At 48.9% G+C, this 23,851-nt stretch overlaps 1 protein-coding gene across 27 annotated transcripts in view, besides 1 other annotated feature; it reads left to right on the forward strand.

The window, feature by feature from the left end:
* Positions 1-23,621, forward strand: part of ZNF346 (zinc finger protein 346) — a 58,494-nt gene extending 34,873 nt beyond the window's left edge. For 14 of the 27 annotated variants that reach the window (NR_131773.2, NR_131774.2, XM_047417054.1 and 11 more), the window contains 2 exons: positions 4,490-4,583; positions 6,944-10,417. Coding sequence is in view for 25 of the 27 variants with exons in the window: in XM_047417054.1 (XP_047273010.1) it covers positions 4,490-4,583; positions 6,944-7,031 (182 nt within the window). In the remaining 2 variants the exon portion in view is untranslated. Of the gene's footprint in view, positions 1-1,672; positions 2,675-4,489; positions 4,584-6,943; positions 10,418-21,813 lie in introns of those variants that run through there. The other 13 variants (XM_011534496.3, XM_017009297.3, XM_017009299.3 and 10 more) reach the window with 5 other exon arrangements.
* Positions 4,117-5,316: an enhancer, noted in NCBI's record as "CDK7 strongly-dependent group 2 enhancer chr5:176488686-176489885 (GRCh37/hg19 assembly coordinates)". NCBI's record gives its function as "activates an origin of replication core promoter dependent on BRD2, BRD4, P300/CBP, MED14 and CDK7 cofactors, with strong dependence on CDK7, by STARR-seq in HCT116 cells {active_cell/tissue: HCT116}" and the evidence as "EXISTENCE:reporter gene assay evidence [ECO:0000049][PMID:35650434]".
* Positions 23,622-23,851: the final 230 nt, after the last annotated feature.

Below are 23,851 nucleotides of genomic sequence, written 5' to 3' on the forward strand. Positions count from 1 at the left end.
CTACTAAAAATACAAAAAAATTAGCTGGGCATGGTGGTGTGCACCTGTAATCCCAACTACTCAGGATGCTGAGGCAGGAGAATCGCTTGAGCCTGGGAGGCGGAGATTGTGGTGAGCCAAGATTGTGCCACTGCACTCCAGTCTGGGCGACGGGGTGAGACCCTGTCTCAAAAAAAAAAAAAAGAAAAATCAGGTGTTCTACACCTTCACTCTGAGGTCATAGATTTTCTTATTTATTTATTTATTTATTTATTTATTTATTTATTTATTGAGACAGAGTTTCGCTCTTAATGCCCAGGCTGGAGTGCAATGGCGCAATCTCGGCTTACTGCAACCTCCACCTCCTGGGTTCAAGCAATTCTCCTGCCTCAGCCTCCCGAGTAGCTGGGATTATAGGCATGCACCACCACGGCCAGCTAATTTTGTATTTTTAGTAGAGACGGGGTTTCACCATGTTGGCCATGCTGGTCTCAGACTCCTGACCTCAGGTGATGTGGCCGCCTCAGCCTCCCAGAGTGCTGGGATTACAGGCATGAGCCACCATGCCCAGCCTGAGGTCATAGATTTTCAAGAGGACTTGGATTTGAAGAATATCGATACTTTTTTTATTTCAAAAAAAAAAATAGCTGGGCGCGGTGGCTCACGCCTGTAATTCCAGCACTTTGGGAGGCTGAGGCAGGCGGATCACCTGAGGTCAGGATTTCAAGACCAGCCTCAACATGGAGAAACCCCGTGTCTACTAAAAATACAAAATTAGCCGGGCGTAGTGGTGCATGCCTGTAATCTCAGCTACTCAGGAGGCTGAGGCAGGAGAATTGCTTGAACCTGGGAGGCGGAGGTTGCAGTGAGCCGAGATCACGCCATTGCACTCCAGCCTGGGCAACAAAAGCGAAACTCCATCTCAATAAAATAAAATAAAATAAAATAACTAGGCAGAGAGTCAGGGGTATTAGATCCCCTTTTGATAGGAATATATACATTATAATTTTAATCTCCACACGTTCCTATAAATAGATATGATTTTGACCACTTCACAAATAAAGAAGTTGAGACCCACAGTGAATGGTTCAAGCTTATACAGCTGATAAGCCCTTGATGTTAATAAATGTTGATATCACTGTGGGTCTTTAGCTCTGTGTGGCTCCAAACCTTACACTCCTTCCACCTGCCTCCAGCTCTCAGCATACTTGGCAGGAGGCTCTCCAAGTGTAGGATGTCTAGCAGAGGCACTGAGCCCCACTCTGTCCCCCTTCTTACAGAGGTGGGCTGTTGACCTAGAATATGCAGGTAATGACTTCAGCTGACAAGGATTCTACCTTAGCAAAGAATTTAGGTGTTTTTGTTTTTGTAGAGACAGGGTTTCACCAGGTTGGCTAGGCTGGTCTGGAACTCCTGGCCTCAAGTGATCCACCCGCCTCGCCCTCCCAAAGTGCTGGGATTACAGGCATGAGCCATTGTGCCCGGCCTATTTAGGTTTGTTAACAGCTTGTCTTCTCCCTGCTGGCTTCGTTCAAGGCCATTCATTCATTTAGTTCATTCATTTAGTCAAGTCACCTAACACTTACTGATAGGTGTTATAGTCCAGGGCTTGGGCTAGGTGCTCTCACATTTAATTACCTGATTTAATCCTGACAATAACTGTTGAACAACTTTGATTATCCCCATTTTACAGATGAGGATATTAAAACCAGAAAGGTGAAGTGATTTTCCAGGGTTCCACACTAAAGAGTGGCAGAGCCAGAGCCCACATTGAAACCCAATGTAGTTCTGTGTTGGATCCAGAGAATAGTTCCTGAGGGTCCCTGACAAGTGTCTCATGGCAAGTATGGACCTACTGTAAGATTACCCAGGGTATCCAAATCCCACCAGGGGCAAATGCATCATCTACCACGCAGATCAAATAAGCCTTAGAGTGGTTTTATACTCCAGGCTTGTGTTTCTCTCATATTCACCCAAGAAGGCCAGAACTAAAACCTACATAGCATTCAGGCAAATCCTTCTTGCCCCCAGAGCATTGAATGTCCCCTCCAGGTTACTGAAATCCTCTGCTTCACCCCATTACTTTCCCTAATTAGGGTCTTATCTCCCACTCAGTAGAGCTGCTTTCTGAGCCCCATGCTGGTCCCCCAGTTTCTTCAGCTTTTATATACAGGACAAGTTTTCAAGTCTTACTAAATTCATATATAGTCAATAAGTATTTATTGGACTTTTACCTAATATGTGCCAGGCATTGTGGTAAATACGTAGTAAACAAGACAGGTATTGTCTGTGTTCTTATGGAGCTTACAGTCTAGCAGAGAAGACAGGCATTGAGCAAACAGTTACAACTGTGACAAACTTCAGAAAAAAAGACAAATGCAAGACTGTGGGCACATAAAATGAGAGGAGATAAGATGGGGGAGCAGGGATCAAGAAAGGCACCCCAGAGGGCAAGTAGGATAGTATGGGACGTAGTGACGCGGAGGACATGAGCAGGTGTCCACGCATGGCTTTGTGGGTCATGTTAGGGCAGCGGGCCTTCACCCTGAGAGCACTGGGACTGGGAAGCCGCTGCCAGTTTGAGCTTTACGGGCGGATCATCCTGGTTCCAGCGTGAGGAGGTTTGGAGCCTGGGCAACATGGCACAACCCCACCTCTACAAAAAGAAGAAAATACAAAAATTACCCAGGTGTGGCCAGGCACGGCGGCTCACGCCTATAATCCCAGCACTTTAGGAGGTCGAGGTGGGTGGATCATGAGGTCAGGAGTTTGAGACCAGCCTGGCCAACATGGTGAAACCCCATCTCTACTAAAACTACAAAAATTAGCCGGGCGTGGTGGTGCACGCCTGTAATGCCAGCTACTCGAGAGGCTGAAGCAGGAGAATTGCCTGAACCCAGGAGGCGGAGGTGCCTCCACTGCACTCCAGCCTGGGTGACAGAATGAGACTCCATCTCAAAAAAATCAAAAATAAGTTGGGCTGGGCACAGTAGCTCAACACCTGTAATCCCAGCACTTTGGGAGGAGACCAAGGCGGGCAGATCACCTGAGGTCAGGAGTTTGAGACCAGCCTGGCCAACATAGTGAAACCCTGTCTGTACTAAAAATAGAAAAATTAGGCATGGTGGCACGCACCAGTAGTCCCAGCTACTTGGGAGGCTGAGGCAGGAGAATCGCTTGAACCTGGGAGGCAGAGGTTGCAGGGAGCAGAGATCACGCCATTGCACTCCAGCCTGGGCAACAAGAGCAAAACTCCATCTCTAAATAAATAAATAAGTTGTGGGCTGGGGTGGTGGCTTACGCCTGTAATCCCAGCACTTTGGGAGGCCGAGGCGGGTGGATCACGAAGTCAGGAGATCAAGACCATCCTGGCTAACACAGTGAAACCCCATCTCTACTAAAAATACAAAAAAAATTAGCTAGGTGTGGTGGCAGGCGCCTGTAGTCCCAGTTACTCAGGAGGCTGAGGGAGGAGAATGGCGTGAACCCGGGAGGCGGAGCTTGCCGTGAGCCAAGATCGCACCACTGCACTCCAGCCTGGACGACAGAGCAAGACTGTCTCAAAAAAAAACAAGTTGCGGTGTAATTGGTTTGAGGGTAAGAAAAGCTAAGGATCAGGCCGGGTGCGGTAGCTCACGCCTATAATCCCAGCGCTTTGGGAGGCCTAGACGGATGGATCATGAGGTCAAGAGAGAGAGACCATCATGGCCGACATGATAAAACACTGTCTCTACCAAAAATACAAAAATTAGCTGGGTGTGGTGGCACATGCCTGTAGTTCCAGCTACTTGGGAGGCTGAGGCAGGAGAATCCCTCGAACCCGGGAGGCACAGGTTGCAGTGAGCCAAGATCGCGCCACTGCACTCCAGCCTGGCCACAGAGCGAGACTCCGTCTCAAAAAAAGAAAAGAAAAGGATCAGAAGAAAGGAAAGGATCTAGCTAAGATCACTTGAAAGCAGAACCAGCAGTTCAGTTCCCTATCCTGGCTCCTCCCTCACTACCAGACCATGTGGGAAAAGCCACTTTGTCATTGGAGCAGCCCTGAGATAGGGTCTGTGATTCCCAGGGTAGAAAGACAGATTGATTATCATAACCAGCGTTCTCACTAATTACTGTTACCGCAAGCCCTAGGAGAGTGGCACCTTCCCAGAGATCTCTCAGTGAAGGACGTCCTTAATGAGGCCACTTAGCACAGTCAAGGTAGAAATACAGACCAAATGTCACCTCTCTGTTCTGTCATTCTTTTATCACTCAGCAGACAGCTAGTCTGGGCCAGGCTCTACGCTGGAACGAGGGACACAGGAATGAGGATCTTCCCAACCCCAGGAAGCACATAGGCACACAGTCTGTGCCTCCTTAGCACTGTGGCCTCTGGGTTCTCATCAGGGCCAGCAACCTCACCTCGCCTCACCTGTCCGTCCTTAGAAGGGCATTTGTACACTCTGAAAAGCAACGGTCTTCAGGTTCCTTCTTTCTGGATTACTAAGATCTTGATTTTGATGTGTTTCAGCTGGAAAGGGCTACCCCTGCAAAACATGTAAGATAGTGCTGAACTCCATAGAACAGTACCAAGCTCATGTCAGCGGCTTCAAACACAAGAACCAGTAAGTAACCATTTTTTGAAATTCTAGGATCCATAGCAGGAGCTCAGGACTTCTGCATCAGAACAAAGCCAGGTAGTTCTCGGCTGAAATGGAATCCTGGCAGTCTTTTTTCAGTGAACAGAAGATGAATCATGTAACAGGAACAAGTGTCTCCTCTATATGTATTTCTCCACCAGCTTCTGCCCAGCCTTTAGACCTGTTGGACTCAAGGGTTTAATAGAGAAGCATACATGATTTCCTTGGTGGGACCCTAAGAACACCTGGCTGTCCTAGTCTGTAGCACTCTGACTGGGGAAGTGCTTTTCCACTGGCCTGGAGACCCTCTCCTTTTCTGGCAGGAGTTCCCTCTATAGGTCATTATCAAATATGACCAGGCCCTCTCATTCCTTAATCAAATATATATTGAGCATCTTCTGAATGATGGCCAAGACAGACCCAGTCTCTGCTCTCCTGACCTTACAGCCTGGTGGGAGGAAACAGACTAAGCAAGTAAACAACCAATAATCACAGATTGTGATAAGGGTTTTGAAGGAACCAGGTGAACAGAGAGTTACCTGTTCATGGTAATCTTGGAAGTGACTAACATTCATTGAGCCCCTCTTCTGTTGCAGGCCATATGTCAAGCAGATTTTCTCAGGTAATCCTTCCAACCCTGAGAGGAAGAGATAATTATTCCCATTTTATACATATAGACAACCAGCATTCAAAGTGGTGATGTGAATGAAGCAAGGTCATGATTCAAACTGAAGCCTGTCTGGCTCACAGCATGCTCTTCCCAAGGCGTCAGGCTCAGAAGTAGGCTATGGCACCACTGATATGAAGAGAATAGGGCCTGGCCTGGAGGGCCCACATGGTTCTGTCCCTTCCTCTCCGAAGGGAAACGTGTGGTATGAGCAGTGTGCCACAACATAACGTTTTTTTTTTTTTTAGTAGAGATGGGGTTTCACCATATTGGCCAGGCTGGTCTCAAACTCCTGAGCTCAAGTGATCCATCTGCCTCGGCCTCCCAAAGTGCTGGGATTACAGGCATGAGCCACTGCACCTGGCCCCAGCATAACCTTCTGAGATAGGTAGAAGAATTCCCATTTTACAGACAAGGAAACTGAGTTTCAGGCAGGCAAGCTGCCGAAATGATTGCTTTGACTTTGGTCATTGATTTTGCTTTGCTCATTGAGCTGAATGATTTAAAGGTGGTAGAAACACAGAGTATTGGTGTAAAAAATGTCCTTAGTTCTCTCTGCTCTGCCTGGAGTCTCCTCTCTCACACTGTAGCAGATCATCCTCTTTACCTGTGAATATGTTTTTTACTTTGGGGGACTCTTAGGTGTAGACTTGAGTTGCCCCAGCAACTCAGCCCCACAGTGTTTCAGCATACATACCTCCCTTGCAGCCTGGCTGATGGCAGTTACAGTAGACAACCTGAAGCCAACCAGAGCCCCTCCCTGGGGCTACCCACACCTGAAATTGCCAGTGTTGTTCGCTGCTCTCTTGCTAAACTTTCCAGCAGTGTGACCTTGGGCAAGTCAATAAGTCTGTAATTCTCCCAACATGGGCAATGTAGTGAGACCCCATCTACAAAAAATAAAGTTAGCCAGGTGTGGCGGCACACACCTGTAGTCCCAACTACTTGAGAGGCTGAAGTGGGAGAATAGCTTGAGCCCAGGAGTTGGAGTGAGCCATGAGTTGCAGTGAGCTATGATGGCACCACTATTCTCCAGTCTGGGTGCCTGAGTGAGATCCTGTCTCAAAATTTTAAAAAAGCCTCTAATTCTGTAAGAATAAAGCTATAATTTGTTGAATACCTGATTGAGTCTCATTAAATTTCTCAACAAAAGGTCTGAAATTAGGATACCCCCTCCCAAACCCATCTTTTACAACCAAAGAAAGCCTAATTATCAGATAGGTTAATTGACTTCCCCAAGGTCACTTAGTTACTTGCAGTTAGACCTGGGATTCAAGCCTGTTTGACTTCGAAGCCCATTCATTTTACTCTGCCACTACCAAATGGAATGAGTTTTTATAGGGCCCTGTAGGCAGTGGTTTGGTATAGTGAAAAGGCATTGGCTACAGTCCTGAACCTACCACCTAAAAACATACTTCGGGCCAGCCACTTAAGCTTTCTGAACTTTAGTTTCCTTGTATGTAAAATGAGGGTGCTGTTTCTCACCTTGCAGAATTGCCATGAGGATGGAATGATGGAAGCTAAGCATCCAGCATTCTGCCAGCCCACAGTGGACCTCAGTGAAGGAAAGGTGTCCTGTCTATTACTCCAAGGCCCTGGAAGGGCAGTGCTATCATTGCAGTAGGCCAATACAGCTGCCACACACTGACCCTCTTCCTTTGTTCCTTCTCAAATACAGGTCACCAAAAACAGTGGCATCATCCCTGGGCCAGATTCCAATGCAAAGGCAACCCATTCAGAAAGACTCAACCACCTTGGAAGACTAGAGGTGATTCTGCCCAGCATCCCATATTGGGCCAGCCATGAGCCAGCTTCCCGTGACTGCTCAGCCCTTGGCTCCCTCTTGCTCGTTGTTCTCACCAGGAAAGTACACGGGCCTGAGGCAGGATTGGGCCACAGACAGCCTCTCATTGGTCCGGGCTAATTCACTCCTGCTGCTCCCCTTTGGCAGGGGTCCTGTAGGTCATGACAGGGGAGGCAAGGGTATTGAGAGACTCGGGGTCTCGCGGGGTGGTAGTTTGGAGGGTGGCTTTCCCCATTTCCCAACCCCTCTGGGCCTTAGGTGCTGAGGCCCCTGCCACCTGTCTTTCCTCTAAAGGTCAGTTTTGGGCCAGTTCTTGCAACTAAAGAGCAGAGATCTCTCTGGGCCCTAGACATTTCCAGCAAAACCTGGAACTTTCATGCCAAACCTGGGGCAGGGCAGGAAACAGAGGAAATGGCTGCAACATGGGAGCTTGGAGCTAATACGACACTCTGCCTTCCCCCAGAAGGTGCAGGCTTTCCTGAGTCTTAGACCAGATATGGCCAGTTGCGCAGGTTTCTGCCAACTGTGAAGTATCCTCCTGGAGCAGTGACACAATCTTGGCGGAGCATTGCTACCCCCGCTGCCCCCTCCACAGTTCCTGAATGGTGCTAAGGATCTGCAGCAGTTGGCAACGAGCTGGGGCTGGGGGCGGCCTCCATGTCCACTGAGATCATAGGACACTCCAATGGGGATGGGACCTTTCCCCTCCTCCATCAGAGGTGCTCTGACCCTAGGTTACACGGGAAAGTGCCCCACATGCAAGTCTCCCTGAGGGTTCTGCCCCTAAAGGCAGACTGCCTCATGCCCGCTAGCTGTGAGGTTCATTGCTACCCTCGGCCCTACTAGCCCTCTCTTCCCCCTTGTGCAGCGGACCACTTGCCCAGTTTGCTGTGGTGCTAGCCTTCCCCATCATCCACCGGGTGATTTCTGGGTCCCAGGGAAAGAAAGAGAGAGCTGATGCAGGTTTCTACAGTGAGGAACAGGCGTTTCCCAGGCCCCACACCCAGATTTCTCTATCTTTGCTGTGTTTTATGGCCTGGGACTGAGTCCACACGGATAGATTTTTCCTTGTAACCTTGAGACGAGAATTCCAAGGAGTGTCACCATCAGAGGCTTCTCTTCATTGTGTCAAAGAAGCCCCTAGCTGCTCTCGTGGCCTCCTTCCCCCACTCCCTATCCCTTCACCTGTGAAATGCCTTTGCTTTGCATATTGTGTGTGGATGTGTGTGTGTGTGTGTGTGTGTTTGTGTGTATGTGTGTGCTTCTGTGTGTGCCTAATGCTCTGTCTCTTGGTCACTGAAGCATCCAAATAAAGAATTTCCCTCATGGGCCAGACTACAACTTAACAGACCTAGGGTTTTGAGCCATATTGCCATTGGATCTAGTATGTCTGTCTTGACCCCTCACCCCCACCCCATTCAGACCTCAGTAGTCCCCAGTAGTCACTTTAGGAGTTGGGACAGAGTCGAGCACCCTGTGAAAGTCTCCCTTGAGTTCAGGTGCCCTGAACTCAGTACAGCCTCATCTTCTCATCCACCACCTTCTCCTGCTTCTCCTGTCACATAGGGCCTCATGAAGGTCTTTAAAGGGTTTAAGCTGGGGATCTGCTTTATGTTTGAGAGAACTGTTCTGGCTGTTATGTAAAGGAGTGCAGGGAGGGGCAGGAAAGGAGACAAGGAGGCCAGTATGGACACTGTGTCCAGTATGGCTTTCCAGGCTAATCACTTAGGGCAGAGACCCAGCCTTATTCATCTCTACTTCCTGATGTCCATAGTGGTGTGTCATGAATTTTTATTGAATGAACAAATGAGGTGTATGAGGAGAGATGGTTTTCTCCTGCTCAGCTCTTACACAGTGATAGGTTTGTTCCATGGGACTTATCATAGGCCTGGTGATTCTTGAAAGAGCATTTTTCATGACTCAAAAATGAGCTGAGAAGGAGTGTTATGGCCAGGTGCGGCGTCATGCACCTATAGTCCCAGCTGCTCAGGAGGCTAAGGCAGAAAGACCATTCAAGCCCAGGAGTTCCAGCCTGAAGTATGCTGTGATCATGCCTGTGAATAACCACTGCACTCCAGCCAGGGCAACATAACAAGACTCTATCTAAAAAAAAAAAAAAATTATAAAAATAAATTTGAAGGCTGGGCGCCGTGGCTCACGCCTGTAATCCAAGCACTTTGAGAGGCCAAGGCAGGTGGATAACCTGAGGTCAGAAGTTCGAGACCAGCCTGGCCAACATGATGGCAAAACCCCGTCCCTATAAAAAATACGAAAATCAGCTGCGCCTGGTGGCACACATCTGTAGTCCCAGCTACTTGGGAGGCTGAGGCAAGAGAATTGCTTGAACCCGGGAGGCGGAGGGTCGCATTGAGCCAAGATCGTGCCACTGCACTCCAGCCTAGGTGACAGAGTGAGACTCCTGTCTCAAAATAAATAAATAATAAATTTTAAAAGAAGGTAGCCAGGTGTGGTGGTGCATTCCTGTAGTCCTGGCTACCTGGAAGGGTGAGGCAGGAGGATCGCTTTAACCATGAGTTCAAGGCAGCAGTGAGCTATGATTATGCCACTGTACTCCAGCCTGGACAACAGAGCAAGACCCTGTCTCTAAAAATAATAATTTTTAAAATTTAAAAAAAGAAAGGAATGTTATGGCCTCAAGAGCTCTTTGTCCATCCTTTACTGTAGACAGCCAGATTTGAGGAAGGGGCCCAGGCAGCCTCAGCTCCCATTCAGTGCCACTCAGCCCCTGCTCCTGGTCAGCTGTGAAAGGCTCTACACAGCCCCAAGGGAGGTTCTCAGCTTCCCATGATCAGACTGCCTCAGCAATTCCCCAGAGTCCTTCTAAGCCACCTAGTATGTCAGATTCAGCCCCATCTACCAAGCAAGGAAATGAAGGGCAGGGGGTGAGTGGGCTATCATACCGTGAGCCTCCGGCCTGCAAGACCACTTTGTAGTCCCTACCAGCTGTGTGGCCAGCCCTGTTGGTAAAGGGACCTAGAGATGAACACTTTCTTGCCCTTAGGGGTTCACACACAGTCAAAGATCATGATGACAATGATAAGAATGCCCAGGATGCAGGAGCTGACTCAGCCAAGGGCATGAAAAAGCTGGAGAGGTTGGAAAGCTAGCATTTCATCTGCATAACAACCTTTGAGCTAAGAGTTAATATTCCATATAGAGAAGGAGGCCAGGCAGGGTGGCTCACATCTGTAATCCCAGCACTTTGGGAGGCCAAGGCGGGTGTATCACTTGCGGCCGGGAGTTTAAGACCATCCTGGCCAACGTGGTGAAATCCCATCTCTACAAAAAATAAAAAATAAAATAAATAAAAACCATGGAGAGAAGGAACAAGGCTGAAAAAGGTATCATGATTTGCCCAAGGTCTTGCCTCTAAGAAATGACAAAATGGAGAGTAGAATCCAGTTCTCTAGACTTCCTCTGGAACCCTTTATGAGTGAGGACCAGAGTACCTCCCACATGGCCCCTGCAGCCTGCCTCACCCATCTCCTGTCAGTGCCATGGTCTCACAGGGTGAGCAGCCACTCAGGGCAGGGGCAGCACCCACAAAACAGATGAGACAAGGCTCAATGTTTATATTCCAAGTCCCTCCATTTTTCTCATAATTTTGTCCATTCCCATGATCCCAGTGTAGTAGACTCTAATTATTAAAGTGTTAGAAACCCAAATCAAAGCGATTAGCTAAAAAGGTAAATGTATTGATTCACTTAATGAAAAATCCACATACAATGATAGCTGGACCCAGACTCGGAGATGGTCTCATCAGGAAGAATTGTCTATCCCTCTGCTTTCCTCTGTGTGCCCTTTCTCAGGCAAGCTCTCTCCAAGAGGTGCCAAGGTGGCCACTGGCAGCCCCAGGCTTCTATCCTGATACGTTAGTAACAACAGTGGAAAGAACACCTTTCTCCACTAGTTCCAACAAAATATCTGGGATTGCCTCAACTGGTTTAGTCCTGTTCTCATCCCTGAATTAATCATTGTGGCTAGGGGAAAAGGCACTCTGATTTGGGGCCTGGGTCATGTGCCTAAAGCTGAGTCAGCTCCACCTAAAACATTGAGAGAGGGAGTGATACAACCCCAAAAGAAGAAGGTTGTAGGGCTCTTTCCAGATTAAGGGGGAATGGATGCAGGGGGAGGGGGACAAAAACAACTGTGCACTATACCCAGAAATTGTTTAACTGTTTCCTTTTTTTCTCTAACTTTTTGAGGTACACCATACATTCAGTAATGTGCACCAATTTTAGACTTCAGTTTGATGAATCCTCACTTACATGTATACATTGGGGCAGTCACCCTCCAGATCAAGATACAGAACATTGCCAGGTCCCTAAAACATTCCCTCATTTCCCCTCCTAGTCAGTATCCCCCAGAAGCAACCACTATTTTGACCTCGATCATTATAGATTAGTTTTGCTTGCTCTTGAGTTTTATAAAAATGGAATCATACATTTTGCACAATATTAGTTTGTGGAATTCACCCATGTTACTGTATGTCTCAGAAGTTCAGTTTTTTTTTTTCAGCCAGGCGCAGTGGCTCATGCCTGTAATCCCAGCTCTTTGGGAGGCCGAGGCGGGCGCATCACTTGAGGTCAGGAGTTCCAGACCAGCCTAGCCAACATGGTGAAACCCTGTCTCTACTAAAAATACAAAAATTAGCTGGTCGTGGTGGTGGATGCCTGTAATCTCAGCTGCTCGCTGAGGCAGGAGAATCGCTTGAACCTGGGAGGCGGAGGTTGCAAGTGAGCTGAGATCGCGCCACTGCACTCCAGCCTAGGTGACGTAGTAAGACTCTGTCTCAAAAAAAAAAAAACAAGTTGAGTTTTTTCGTGCTGTGTAGTGGTCCTTTATTTGAATATAGCACAATTTAGCCATCCTACTTTTTTGTTTTTGTTTTTGAGATGTTCTCACTCTGGCCCCCAGGCTGGAATGCAGTGGTGCCATCAAGACTCACTGCAGCCTCGACCTCCTGGGCTCAAGTGATCCTCCCACCTCAGCCTCCCAAGTAGCTGAGACTACAGGCACATGCCACCACACCAGCTAATTTTTTCTATTTTTTGTAGAGATGGAGTCTCTGTTGCCCAGGCTGGTCTCGAACTCCTGGGCTCAAGTGATCCTCCCGCCTCAGCCTCCCAAGTAGCTGGGACTACAGGCACATGCCACCATGCCAGCTAGTTTTTCGTATTTTTTGTAGGGATGGCGTCTCACCCTGTTGCCCAGGCTGGTCTCAAACTCCTGGGCTCAAGCGATCCACCCACCTTAGCCTCCCAAAGTGCTGGGATTACAAGCGTGAGCCACCAAGCCTGGCCCAGCCATCCTGTTGAGGGACAACTGGGTTGTTTCTAGTTTGGGGGTATCATAAATAAAACTGCTGTGAAGGATTTTTTACATGCTGCTTGGTACACATGTTCACTCATCTACTCAGGCGTGGAATCATAGAGTAGGCATATGTTTAGCTTGTCTAGACACTGCCAAACAGTTTTCCAAAGTGGCTCTATTGACTTACATCCTCACCAGCAGTGTGTGGGAGCTCCAGCAGCTCCACGTCTTGGTTAGCACTTGGTGTTGTCAGTTTTTTTAATATTGGCCATTCTGGTGGTACCCAGGAATTTGAATCCATAGTTCCTGACTTGAAATCAGGGCCCTTCTTACTTTTAGCATGCTCAAGACAGGTTTGAATTTTGTAGCCTCGAATGGCCTCAGAAATCAATACCCAGGACCCACAATACAGCAGGCAAGCATATGAGGGAGCCCCTGCTCATGGCTCCAGTGCCTAGGGAGGGTCTCAGAGAGGCATCAGCTCTGGAGAGGCAGTCTAGCGTAGTGGCGAAAACTCAGGTTCTGGGAAGCAAGCAGCTAAGGTTCAGATCCCAGCTCTGCCATCGCAAAGCTGCCTCGGGGTGGAACATTAGTACCTACCTCACAGGGTGATCATGAGAATTAAAAGAATAGGTGGATATGAAATAATAGTGCCTTACACATGATAAATGCTATATAAATGATAGCTGCTGCTCTTTCTATTGTTGACCTGAAGTAAGCCCTGAGTCCCCCTGGAGCGGGGGTAAGGCCACAAGCAGATGGCATCTGGCATAGCCCCATGTAATAAGATTCAGTAATCCGGTCTGACTGAGGCGGGGGGAAAAGTAGCATAGTGGCTAGAAGTGATTCTTTACTGGGGCCCAGCGAAAAGTCACCCTCCACTACTGGGGAGCCCCTGCTTATCCCAGGCCCAAGGCTCTTTGGCCAGTGACACTACTGAGGTGTCACACCTGAGGGGAAGAAATGGAATCATGCATGAAATGGAACCAAGAGGAAGTGGAAGCATACTCTTAGCCCAGAGCTAGATGCAAAGCAGCTGTTTGAATATAACAACCCACCAGTGCAGACACAGATCTAGACATGTACCTGTATAGCAGCCAATGAGGGGTGGCATGAGGGACAAGGGCCTGGGATTCAGGAGCCCTAAGTGTTGGTCTGAGCACTGCCACCAGCTATATGTGACCTGAGGCCTTGTGAAGTGGAAGTTAGAAGAAATCACAGTTCCCAGCTCAAATCCTGAAGAAGTAGCAATGAACAGGTAGAGTTTCCTCCCAGAGCCCTAAGCCAGGTGTGGTGCACGTGCCTGCAATCCCATCTGCTCGGGAGGCTGAGGCAGGAGGATCGCTTGAGCCCAGGAGTTCAAATCCAGCCTGGGCAACATAATGGGAGCCTCTTAAAAAAAAAAAAAAGAAAGAAAGAAAAAAGGGGCCAGGCGCCAGGCGCGGTGGCTCACGCCTGTAATCCCAGCACTTTGGGAGGCTGAGGTGGGCGGATCACAAGGTTAGGAGATCGAGACCATCCTGGCTAACACGGTGAAACCCCATCTCTACTAAAAATACAAAAAATTAGCTGGTCGTAGTGGCGGGTGCCTGTAGTCCCAGCTACCGGGAGGCTGAGGCAGGAGAATGGCATGAACCCGGGAGGCGGAGCTTGCAGTGAGCTGAGATCGTGCCACTGCACTCCAGCCTGGGCGACAGAGCGAGACTCTGTCTCAAAAAAAAAAAAAGAAGAAGAAGAAGAAAGCCCTTCCTTCCCTCACAGCAGTCCCTGCCAGATGAGCTGTCCCCACCCCCAAACCAGATGCTCTGATGAGCAGTCACTAGTGTAAAATACAATAGGAAGAACACTTTCTCCCTCTGACCATCCATCCACCTAACCTCACCTCTCTGCCCTGTGCAAAGCCCTGTTACAGAGACAGGGCAGACCCGTCCCCGGCCTGTCTCTCCCAAGCTTACTGTTCATATATGCTGCTTCATCTGTCTAGGAATATCAGAACGCAGTTCTGTAAATGTTCAACTCTTCAGTGCAATGACCCCATTAGCCACTAGGTGGAGTCAGCTTCTTTTTTCTAGCAAGGTAGACCAGCCCTGGGACTTTACTGTTTGATTTAATGGGAAGAGAACAGGGTGACTTCACGAGCCCCTGTATATGCTATTTCAGTTAACCCTCAGGACAACTGGCAAAGACTTGATTTCACAGGAGAAAGTCAGGGACAAAGTCTTGCAGAGCTTACACAACCAAGAAGTAGCCTTGGAGAGAGATTTGATCTTAGCACTTCTGCTCATTCCCAAGGCCGATTTCCCCTTCCCTCAGGACATTTCCCTCAGGAGGCCCTCTCTGTTTGAGGGCTGTAACTTAGTCACCTGTCTAGAAGTACACCTGATGTCAGGCCAGCTCCACAGCCCTTCTTTTCCTTTTCTCCTTTGGGTGACAAACCTGCTCCATTCTCAGATCCTGTGGTTCCGAGGGACTGGCCCTGCTCTCTGATTCCAGGAGTGAGCCTGTGACCCGACTGAGTAATCACAGTCATAGTCTTCAGCTGTTAGTGTCCAGCATGTAAGGACAGCCTGCTTCAGAACTAAGCCAACACAGAGGAGGCCGGGCTCGGTGGCTCACACCTGTAACCCCAGTACTTTGGGAGGCCAAAGCAGGCAGATTACTTGAAGTCAGGAGTTCAAGGCCAGCTGGCCAACATGATGAAACCCTGTCTCTACTAAAAATACAAAAATTAGTCAGGCGTGGTGGCGCACGTCTGTAGTCCCAGCTACTCAGGAGGCTGAGGCAGGAGTATTGCTTGAACCCGTGAGGCGGAGGTTGCAGTGAGCCGAGATCACACCACTGTACTCCAGATAAGGAGAGACTCATTTCTGATGACTACCTGGATCCAGCTATGCCTGAAGCTAATATCCCCCAGGACTTTTTAGTTATGACTTTTCTTTAAGTCAGTTGAGTTTCTATAACTTGCAACCAAGATTTCTGCCTAATACTTGCTCCAGCTCCCCTTGTCAACCTGGGGACCTCCACTCATCCAGAGATCACTGGCCCCCAAGGCCAAGTTGGCTGCCCTTTGTGTTCCCAGATGCCCTGTGTTCCCCTCTAGCATAGCCCTTAATATGCTGTGTTACGATGATCTAATTCCCTGTCTCTTCTTTTAGACTAGAAACTGCTTGAGGGCAGGAATTGGGTCTTATGATACTGCATCCCTGGTCCCTAGCATAGGACTGTGCTTATGTTTTAATAACTGCTTGGTGATTGAATACATTAATGAATAAATGAATAAAAATGGGTATGGTCTGGTAGGGACCATTGCTGGGATTTCACAGGAAAGACATTTATTTTGTTTGTTTTTTGAAACAGCGTCTCACTCTGTCACACAGGCTGGAATGCAGTGGTGCAAACACAGCTCATTGCAGCCTCGACCTCACTGACTCAAGTGATCCTCCCACCTCAGCCTCCCGAGTAGCTGGGACTACAGGCGCACACCACCACACCCAGCTAATTATCTTATTTTTTGTAGACACAAGGTCCCACTGTGTTGCCCAGGCTGGTCTTGAACTCCTGAGCTCAAACGATCCTCCCACCTCGGCCTACCAGAGTGCTGGGATTGCAGACGTGAGCCACCGCACCTGGCCGGAAAGACTTATTGAGGGAGATGATCCTCTAGTGGTCATGAAGGTCAAAGGAGCCAGGTTGCTGGGGTGGGAGGAGGCTTAGTGAAAGGAACTAGAAGAGGCGAGTTGTGGAACACAGTTGATTGTTTCAATAATGGCCTCCCATGAATCATTGCCTCCCTGTGCCTGTGTCCTTTTGCAATGTGACTTTATCATTGCTCCCATCAAGATCGGGCGGGCGGGGGAGGGGGGGGGTCCATTTCCCAGTCTCTTGAATCTGAACTAGTCTTGTGAGTTGCTTTGATCAGAGAATTCAGTAACATGACTGTACGACTTCCAAGGTTAGGACTTAAGTGCTCATGCAGCTTCCGTTCCTGACCCTGTGAAAGGAAGTTTGGGCTAGACCATGTGGCGACCACAGACCAGGTAGAGAGAGAAGCCAACAGCCAGCTCCATACATGTGAGGGAGGACATCCCAGACCCTCTAGCATAGCCAATCCACAGCATAAGCAGAACTGCCACCTGAGCCCAGCTAATCACAGAATTGTGAGAAATAATACATTGTTTTAAATAATTAAGTTTGGGAACAGTTTGTGCAGTAAAGGCTCACAGAATCACTAGGTATAATAATCAGAAGCTTCCTAGTGTCTGTTTACCCTTCTTCCTATAATAAGCTTTTCTTTGAAAAACCCCACCCTCAGCTTATGTAGTCCGGGTGGGGAAGACCTCCACTCTCCTGGCTTTTGCCAGAACAGTTGAGAAGTTGCCAAGTGGGAATGTCTCGAGCCCAGAGCTGTTAGTGGCCTTCTTTGTCACTTCTTAGGGAGCACCTGTCATAGAGAAGAAGACAGAAGAGAGAATGAGTTTTGACCATACTGTTGGGAACCAGGATCAAGCTGTTTCTGGAGCCTGATTCACACCAGGACTTACAGTCATGCTCCTGTAGTCCCAGCTACTCAGGAGACTAAGGCAGGAGAATTTCTTAGGCCCAGGAGTTCACATCCAGCCTGGGCAGCACAACAGACCTCATCTCTTTAAAAAGTGCATGAGCCAGTACATTCACTATTTTGTGTAAGCAGGTTTGAATTTGAGTTTCTGTGTCTTGCAACTGAATGAAAACGTTCGCTGAGAGCCAGAAAAATTGATAGAGGCTGAGCAGCTCCAGGGCAGAGGGCAGTTAGGTCAGACAGAGGAGGGATTCCTGGCCGGGCAAGTTGGCTCACACCTGTAATCCCAGCACTTTGGGAGGCCGAGGCGGGCGGATCACGAGGTCAGGAGAACGAGACCATCCTGGCTAACACGGTGAAACCCGTCTCTACTAAAAATACAAAAATTTAGCCGGGCATGGTGGTGGGCATCTGTAGTCCCAGCTACTCGGGAGGCTGAGGCAGGTGAATGGCATGAACCCAGGAGGCGAAGCTTGCAGTGAGCCGAGATCGCGCCAGTGCACTCCAACCTGGGCGACAGAGCAAGACTCCCTCCGTCTCAAAAAAAAAAGAATTTTTTTTAAATAAAAATAAAATATATCTACATTTTGGCCGGGCATGGTGGCTCACGCCTGTAATCCCAGCATTTTGGGAGGCCAAAGCAGGTGGATCATGAGATCAGGAGTTCAAGACCAGCCTGGACAACATGGTGAAACCCCGTCTCTATTAAAAATACAAAAAAAAACTAGCCGGGCATGGTGGTGGGTGCCTGTAATCCCAGCTACTCATGAGGCTGAGGCGGGAAAATGGCTTGATCCCAGGAGGCAGAGGTTGCAGTGAGCCGAGATGAGTAACACTGTACCCCGGCCTGGGCGACAGAGCCAGACACCGTCTCAAAAAACAAACAAACAAAAAAATCTACACTTTTTAATACTCCTCCCTTCAATAGGTCAAGTTTAATTTCTACCCTATATCCCCTAATATGGGCTGTAAGTAGCAATTCACTTTACTTACTGATTGATTGATTGACTCAAGGTCTTGCTGTGTCCCCCAGGCTGGAGTGCATGGCACAATCATAGGTCACTGCAGCCTCGATCTCCTGGGCTCAAACAGTCCTCCCACCTCAGCCTCCTGAGTAGCTGGAACTACAGGCATGCGCCACTGTGCCTGGCTAATTTTTTTTTCCTTTTTTTTTGAGACAGAGTTTCTCTCTTGTCGCCCAGGCTAGAGTGCAGTGGTGCAATCTCGGCTCACTGCAAACTCTGCCTCCTGGGTTCAAACGATTCTCCTGTCTCAGCCTCCCAATTAGCTGGAATTACAGGCACCCGCCACCACGCCCAGCTAATTTTTGTACTTTTAATAGATACAGGGTTTCACCAGGTTGACCAGGCTGATCTCGAACTCCCAACCTCAGGCGATTGACCTGCCTCAGCCTCCCAAAGTGCTGGGATTACAGGCGTGAGCCACCACGCCCGTCTGGCTAATATTTTTTATTAGGGTCTCACTCCGTTGCCCAGGCTGGTCTCAAACTCCTAGGCTCAAGGAATCCTCCTCGCTCAGCCTCCTGAAGTGCTGGGATTATAGGCGTGAGCCACTGTGCCTGGCTGTGACTCACTTTTAACTAATAGAATAAGACAGAAGTGACAAGAATCTGATGTCTGAGAGTAAGTTATACATTACATTGCAGCTTCAATATTTCTCTCTTGGATCACCAGCTCTGAGGGAAACCAGCTAACGTGTTGTGGGAACACTCAAGCAGCCCTATCAAGAGGCTGTTGTTGAGAGAAATGTAGGTCTTCTACCAATGACAAAGATTCTTTGGTTGGCCAAATTTTAGTCAGGCTTCTGAGCCTTCTCCTAGGTCCATCTGTGCACTTCCTTGTAAAATCTAGTTTTAGCAAAGAACCTGCTAAGTCTAGTTTAGCAAGAACTGCCGCCCATCTTCGATATCTGATCAGGTTCCTCCTCCTCCACCATCCCCCAGGTGATGGCTGATGGGCCTGTCTTCAGCAAGAATCCTGTTGGGTCAGTTTGGACAGAACCCCTTTACCCCAACGTTTCCTCTTAGTCATTTTCCATTCACTGCTCCCCACTCTGTTCCTTGGCTCAGAATTCCCACTCGCCCATGCTGTATTCAGAATGGAGCCCAATCTCTCTCCCCCTCTGCAAGATCCCATTGCAGTGGTCCCTGTGACTATCTCAATGGTCCTGAATAAAGTTTTCTTTACTGTGCTTTAATAAGTATCGTTGAGCCGGGCGTGGTGGCTCACGCCTGTAATCCCAGCAGTTTGGGAGGCTGAGGTGGGTGGATCATTTGAGGTCAGGAGTTTGAGACCATCCTGGCCAATATGGTGAAACCCCGTCTCTACTAAAAATACAAAAATTAGCTGGGCATGGTGACAGGTGCCTGTAATCCCAGCTACTTGGGAGGCTGAGGCTGGAGAATCGCTTGAACCCAGGAGGCGGAGGTTGCAGTGAGCCGAGATCACGCCACTGTACTCCAGCTTGGGCGACAGAGCGAGACTCTCAAGAAAAATAAATAAATAAACATAAAAACAAGTATCTTTGAATAATTTTTTCTTTAACACCAATAGTCAGCCAAATATTTGTTATGTAAAGTCGTTAAGTTTAAAAGTAATGTGTTATGAAGCAATGGATAACTAATACAGGTCTTTTTCCTAAAAGCCATGGAAATTTATTAAAAGGTTTTAAACAAATAGCAGTGAAAACAGGATGAATTTGCTGCCATGTAAACAAATGAGTACTATGGCCAAAGAGCCAACAGAGGAGAGTGGAGACACAAAGGAAGGGTGTTCTACTGAGAAGGAGCCTTTTATTTATAAAGGGTTTAAGAAAAAGGATTAGCCGAAGAAAAAATTATTTGGTTCACATAGTGAAATGTTCAAAGAAGGAATGGCTTCAGGCAAGGCTTGATCCGGGTGCACTCCAGCTCTTGGCCCTCTTGTTTCCTTTATTGCTGTCTTTCACAGAGAAGCTCTCCCAAGCAACTCTAGGCATCCCTATTCACAGCTCAGCTTCTCAGAGAGTTGGTTTCCTATTCATTCCAATAAAAGACCTAGACTGGCTCCCATTGGCCCTCCCATGGTCACATGCTCATCTCTGACTTAATCACAATGGCCTGGGAGATGGAATATTCTCCTTAGCCAGGTCTGGGTCACATGTCCACCATAAATGCCAAGGAGGAGTGTTGGTTTCATCCAGTCCCCCGTGGACTGCTAGTAGGGGAGGACCACGACATCAAGAAAAGTTTGAGGGGTCGTTACCAGAGAGAGGAAAAGGGTTTTAATGTCCAGTTTAGGGTGGCCAGGAGGGATCTGAAAGAAAAAGGAATGCCTGGCCAGGCGCGGTGGCTCACGCCTGTAATCCCAGCACTTTGGGAGGCCGAGGCAGGTGGATCACCTGAGGTCAGGAGCTCGAGCCCAGCCTGGTCAACATGGTGAAACCCCATCTCTACTAAAAATATAAAAATTAGCTGGGCATGGTGGTGAGTGCCTGTAATCCCAGCTACTCGGGTGGCTGAGGCAGGAAAATTGCTTGAACCCGGGAGGTGGAGGTTGCAGTGAGCTGAGATTGCACCACTGCACTCCAGCCTGGGCAACAGAGCAAGACTCCATCTCAAAAAAAGAAAAGAAAAGAAAAGGGAATGCCTGAGAGGAGTCCAGAAATACCTGCTGAATGGCAGGTATCTGGTAGAATGCCTGGAAAGCGGGGAGGACAGATAGGCAGGCCAGAGGAAGAATGCTCAGCAACAAAGGCAGCATAAGCAAAGACGCCACGGTGTCAGCCAGTCAGGCACATTCAGAGGCTCTACCTGGAGCTCACTGCAGCTGCGAAACAGCAGGTGTCTTGGGGGAGACTGGAGCTGGGACAGCAGAGAGCAGCAGAGGCCAGTCCTGGAGGGCCCTGAATGTCAGGCTGAGGAGCTGGGGGTGCCAGTGGGTGGTGGGGGGAGAGTAGTTAAGGGTGAGGAGTGGCAGCACAGTGGCACATGCCTGGAGTCCCAGCTAATGGGGAGGCTGAGGCAGGAGGATCCTGCGAGCCTAACAGTTGAAATCCCATCTGGCAATGTAACAAGACCCCGTCTCTAATAAAAATAAGCTGGCCGGGCGTAATAGCTAGTGTCTGTAATCCCAGCACTTTGGGAGGCCAAGGCAGGCGGATCACTTGAGGCCAGGAGTTCGAGACCAGCCTGGCCAACATGGTGATACCCGTCTCTACTAAAAACACAAAAATTAGCCAGGCATGGTGGCACACGCCTGTAATCCCAGGTACTTGGAAGGCTGAGGCAGGAGAATCATCTGAACCCAGGAGACAGGTTGCAGTGAGCCGAGATCATGCCACTGCACTCCAGCCTGGGCATGAGACTCTGTCTCAAATAAATAGATAAATAAATGATTTTAAAAAAATAAAAGCTGAGGAGTGACTTGGTTAGATCCGTAGTTTAAAGAAGTCATTTTGGGGCCAGGCACGGTGGCTCACGCCTATAATCCCAGCACTTTGGGAGGCTGAGGCAGGTGGATCACCTGAGGTCAGGAGTTTGAGACCAGCCTGGCCAACATGGTGAAGCTCCGTCTCTACTAAAAATACAAAAAATTACCCAGCCGTGGTGGCTTACACCTGTAATCCCAGCTACTCAGGAGGGTGAGGCAGGAGATTTGCTTGAACCTGGGAGGTGGAGGTTGCAGCGAGCCAAGATCATGCCACTGCACTGCAGCCCGGGCGACAGAGAGACTCAAAAAAAAAAAAAAGTCGTTTTGGGAACCAGTCACCGCTTCTTTTTGATAGCCCCTGGTTTTGTTAGGGGAAGCAAGGGGTTCAGCAAAATGAATATACTTCCTGGCTTCCTTTGCAGCTAGGGGTGGCCGTGTCACAGTCTGGCCAAGGAAATGAAATTGGGAGTTGCTGTGTGGAAACTCAACTCTCTGGAACTTCTTCCTTCCTCCTGCCTCTGCACAAATGTGACGGCAGCAGCTGAAGCCAACATCTTGCGACCATGAGAGAAAAACCTGGAGAACGGACGAGTCCTCAACCCTGACTTCAGACCAACCTACACCCACCTCTGGACGTGGGGCTAAGTGAGAGATGGATACACTGTTTCATTTAGGCCCTGCTCACTTAGGTTTCTGTTATTCACACCCCAACGAAACCCTCCATGGTCCAGGGCACCGGGCAAAGTACAGAAGGGCACGAGTTTACTTCCCGCTTCCCTGGAGACCACCAACCCTCTCACCCTTCCAGCCCAGCCTCTGCCACTTCCCAGCTGTCGGTCCTCCTCCAAACAGACGTGCATGCCAACACCCGGTGGGTGTGAGGCTTGTAGGCCCAAGTCTAGAGAGGCTGAGTCTGGCAAAGCCTGAAAGCCCCTGTCCTAGCAAGCCAGGCCACAGGTCTAGAGTATCCGAGACCAGTGAATAAGGGGACGGGGGGTGCTACTGAGGCTGTGAGAAGCCCCAGGACCAGCCCAGGGTAGTTAGAACTGAGTGAGGTTAGCCGGGACTAACCTCACTCAGATCCCTCCTCCCCAGTTCCCCTCCATCCACTTTGGTTTGGAAGCCTCCCCAGAGCTCTCCCAGGCTGTCATCAGCTCTAAACTCTCTGCCTCCACAAAAATGCCCTGGGCAACCTGTAACTCACAGCCCTGCTGTCTTCAGAGTATAAACTGGAGACAGATGTACCCAGAATTGAGGACGGGTGGGAAATGAGGAGAAATGAAGGCTGAGGAGGGGTCATTCTCACAGTCCCTCCCTTTCGGTCACAGGAGGGTGTTGCCCATGCTTTTGGGTGGGTCCCAGGCCCATAGCTGCAAATATTCATATTGGCTACTCTTCAGTGAGCAAGGGGTATATGCCAGGCACTGGCATTGTGCTTGACATACATCATCATACTGAGTCCTCACGGAAGATGTATTATTCCCATTTCACAGAAGATGAAACTGAGGCTTGAGGTTAAGTGATTTGTCCGTGACCACAAAGAGTTTTCGGGACTCAAACCCAGATCTGTCACTGGGCAAGGTGGCTCACACCTATAATCCCAGCCCTTTGGGAGACTGAGGCCAGCAGATCTCCTGTGGCCAGGAGTTCAAGCCTGGCCAACAATGGCAAAACCCCGTCTCTACCAAAAATACAAAAATTAGCTGGGCGTGGTGGCACACACCCGTAATCCCAGCTACTCAGGTGGCTGAGGCAGGAGAATCACTTGAACCCAGGAGGTGGTGGTTGCAGTGAGCCTAGATCGTGCCACTGCATTCCAGCCTGAGCGACAGAGTAAGACTCTGTCTCCAAAAAAAACCCAGATCTGTCCGACTCTGACACCCAACCTTTAATCACTCACTTTCTGTCAATGTCACCTCCGTTTTGACCAGCCAAGCTAGACCTCCCTGGAGCCTGTGGAGAAGCCAAGGTAGAAAAGGGTTGGAAAAGAATGATAAAATAGGCCAGGTGCGGTGGCTCAAGCCTGTACTCCCAGCACTTTTGGAGGCCGAGACAGGCAGATTGCTTGAGCCCAGGAGTTCAAGACCAGCCTGGGCAACATAATGAGACCCTGTTTCAACTTAAAAAAAAGAAATGGTAATGAACAATTGTCAATTCTGAGCAGCTGGGTATGGTATGACCCTGTGTACTTTTTCTGTATTTTAAAATGTTCTCAAAATAAAACTTGTTTAAAAAAAAAAAAGAAGAGGACAAAGAAGAGGAGGAGGAAAAAGAAGAGGAAGAGTAAGGAAGGAGGAAAGAAGAGGGGGAGGGAGGGAGGAAGGAAGGAAGGAGAATAAATGAAGAAAGAGGCCAGGCAGAATGGCTCATGGCTGTAATCCCAGCACTTTGGGAGGCCAAGGCAGGTGGATCACCTGAGGTCATGAGTTCGAGACCAGCCTGGCCAACATGATGAAACCC

This window comes from Homo sapiens, chromosome 5, assembly GCF_000001405.40.
Source record: "Homo sapiens chromosome 5, GRCh38.p14 Primary Assembly".
In the NCBI taxonomy this organism is placed as follows: domain Eukaryota; kingdom Metazoa; phylum Chordata; class Mammalia; order Primates; family Hominidae; genus Homo; species Homo sapiens.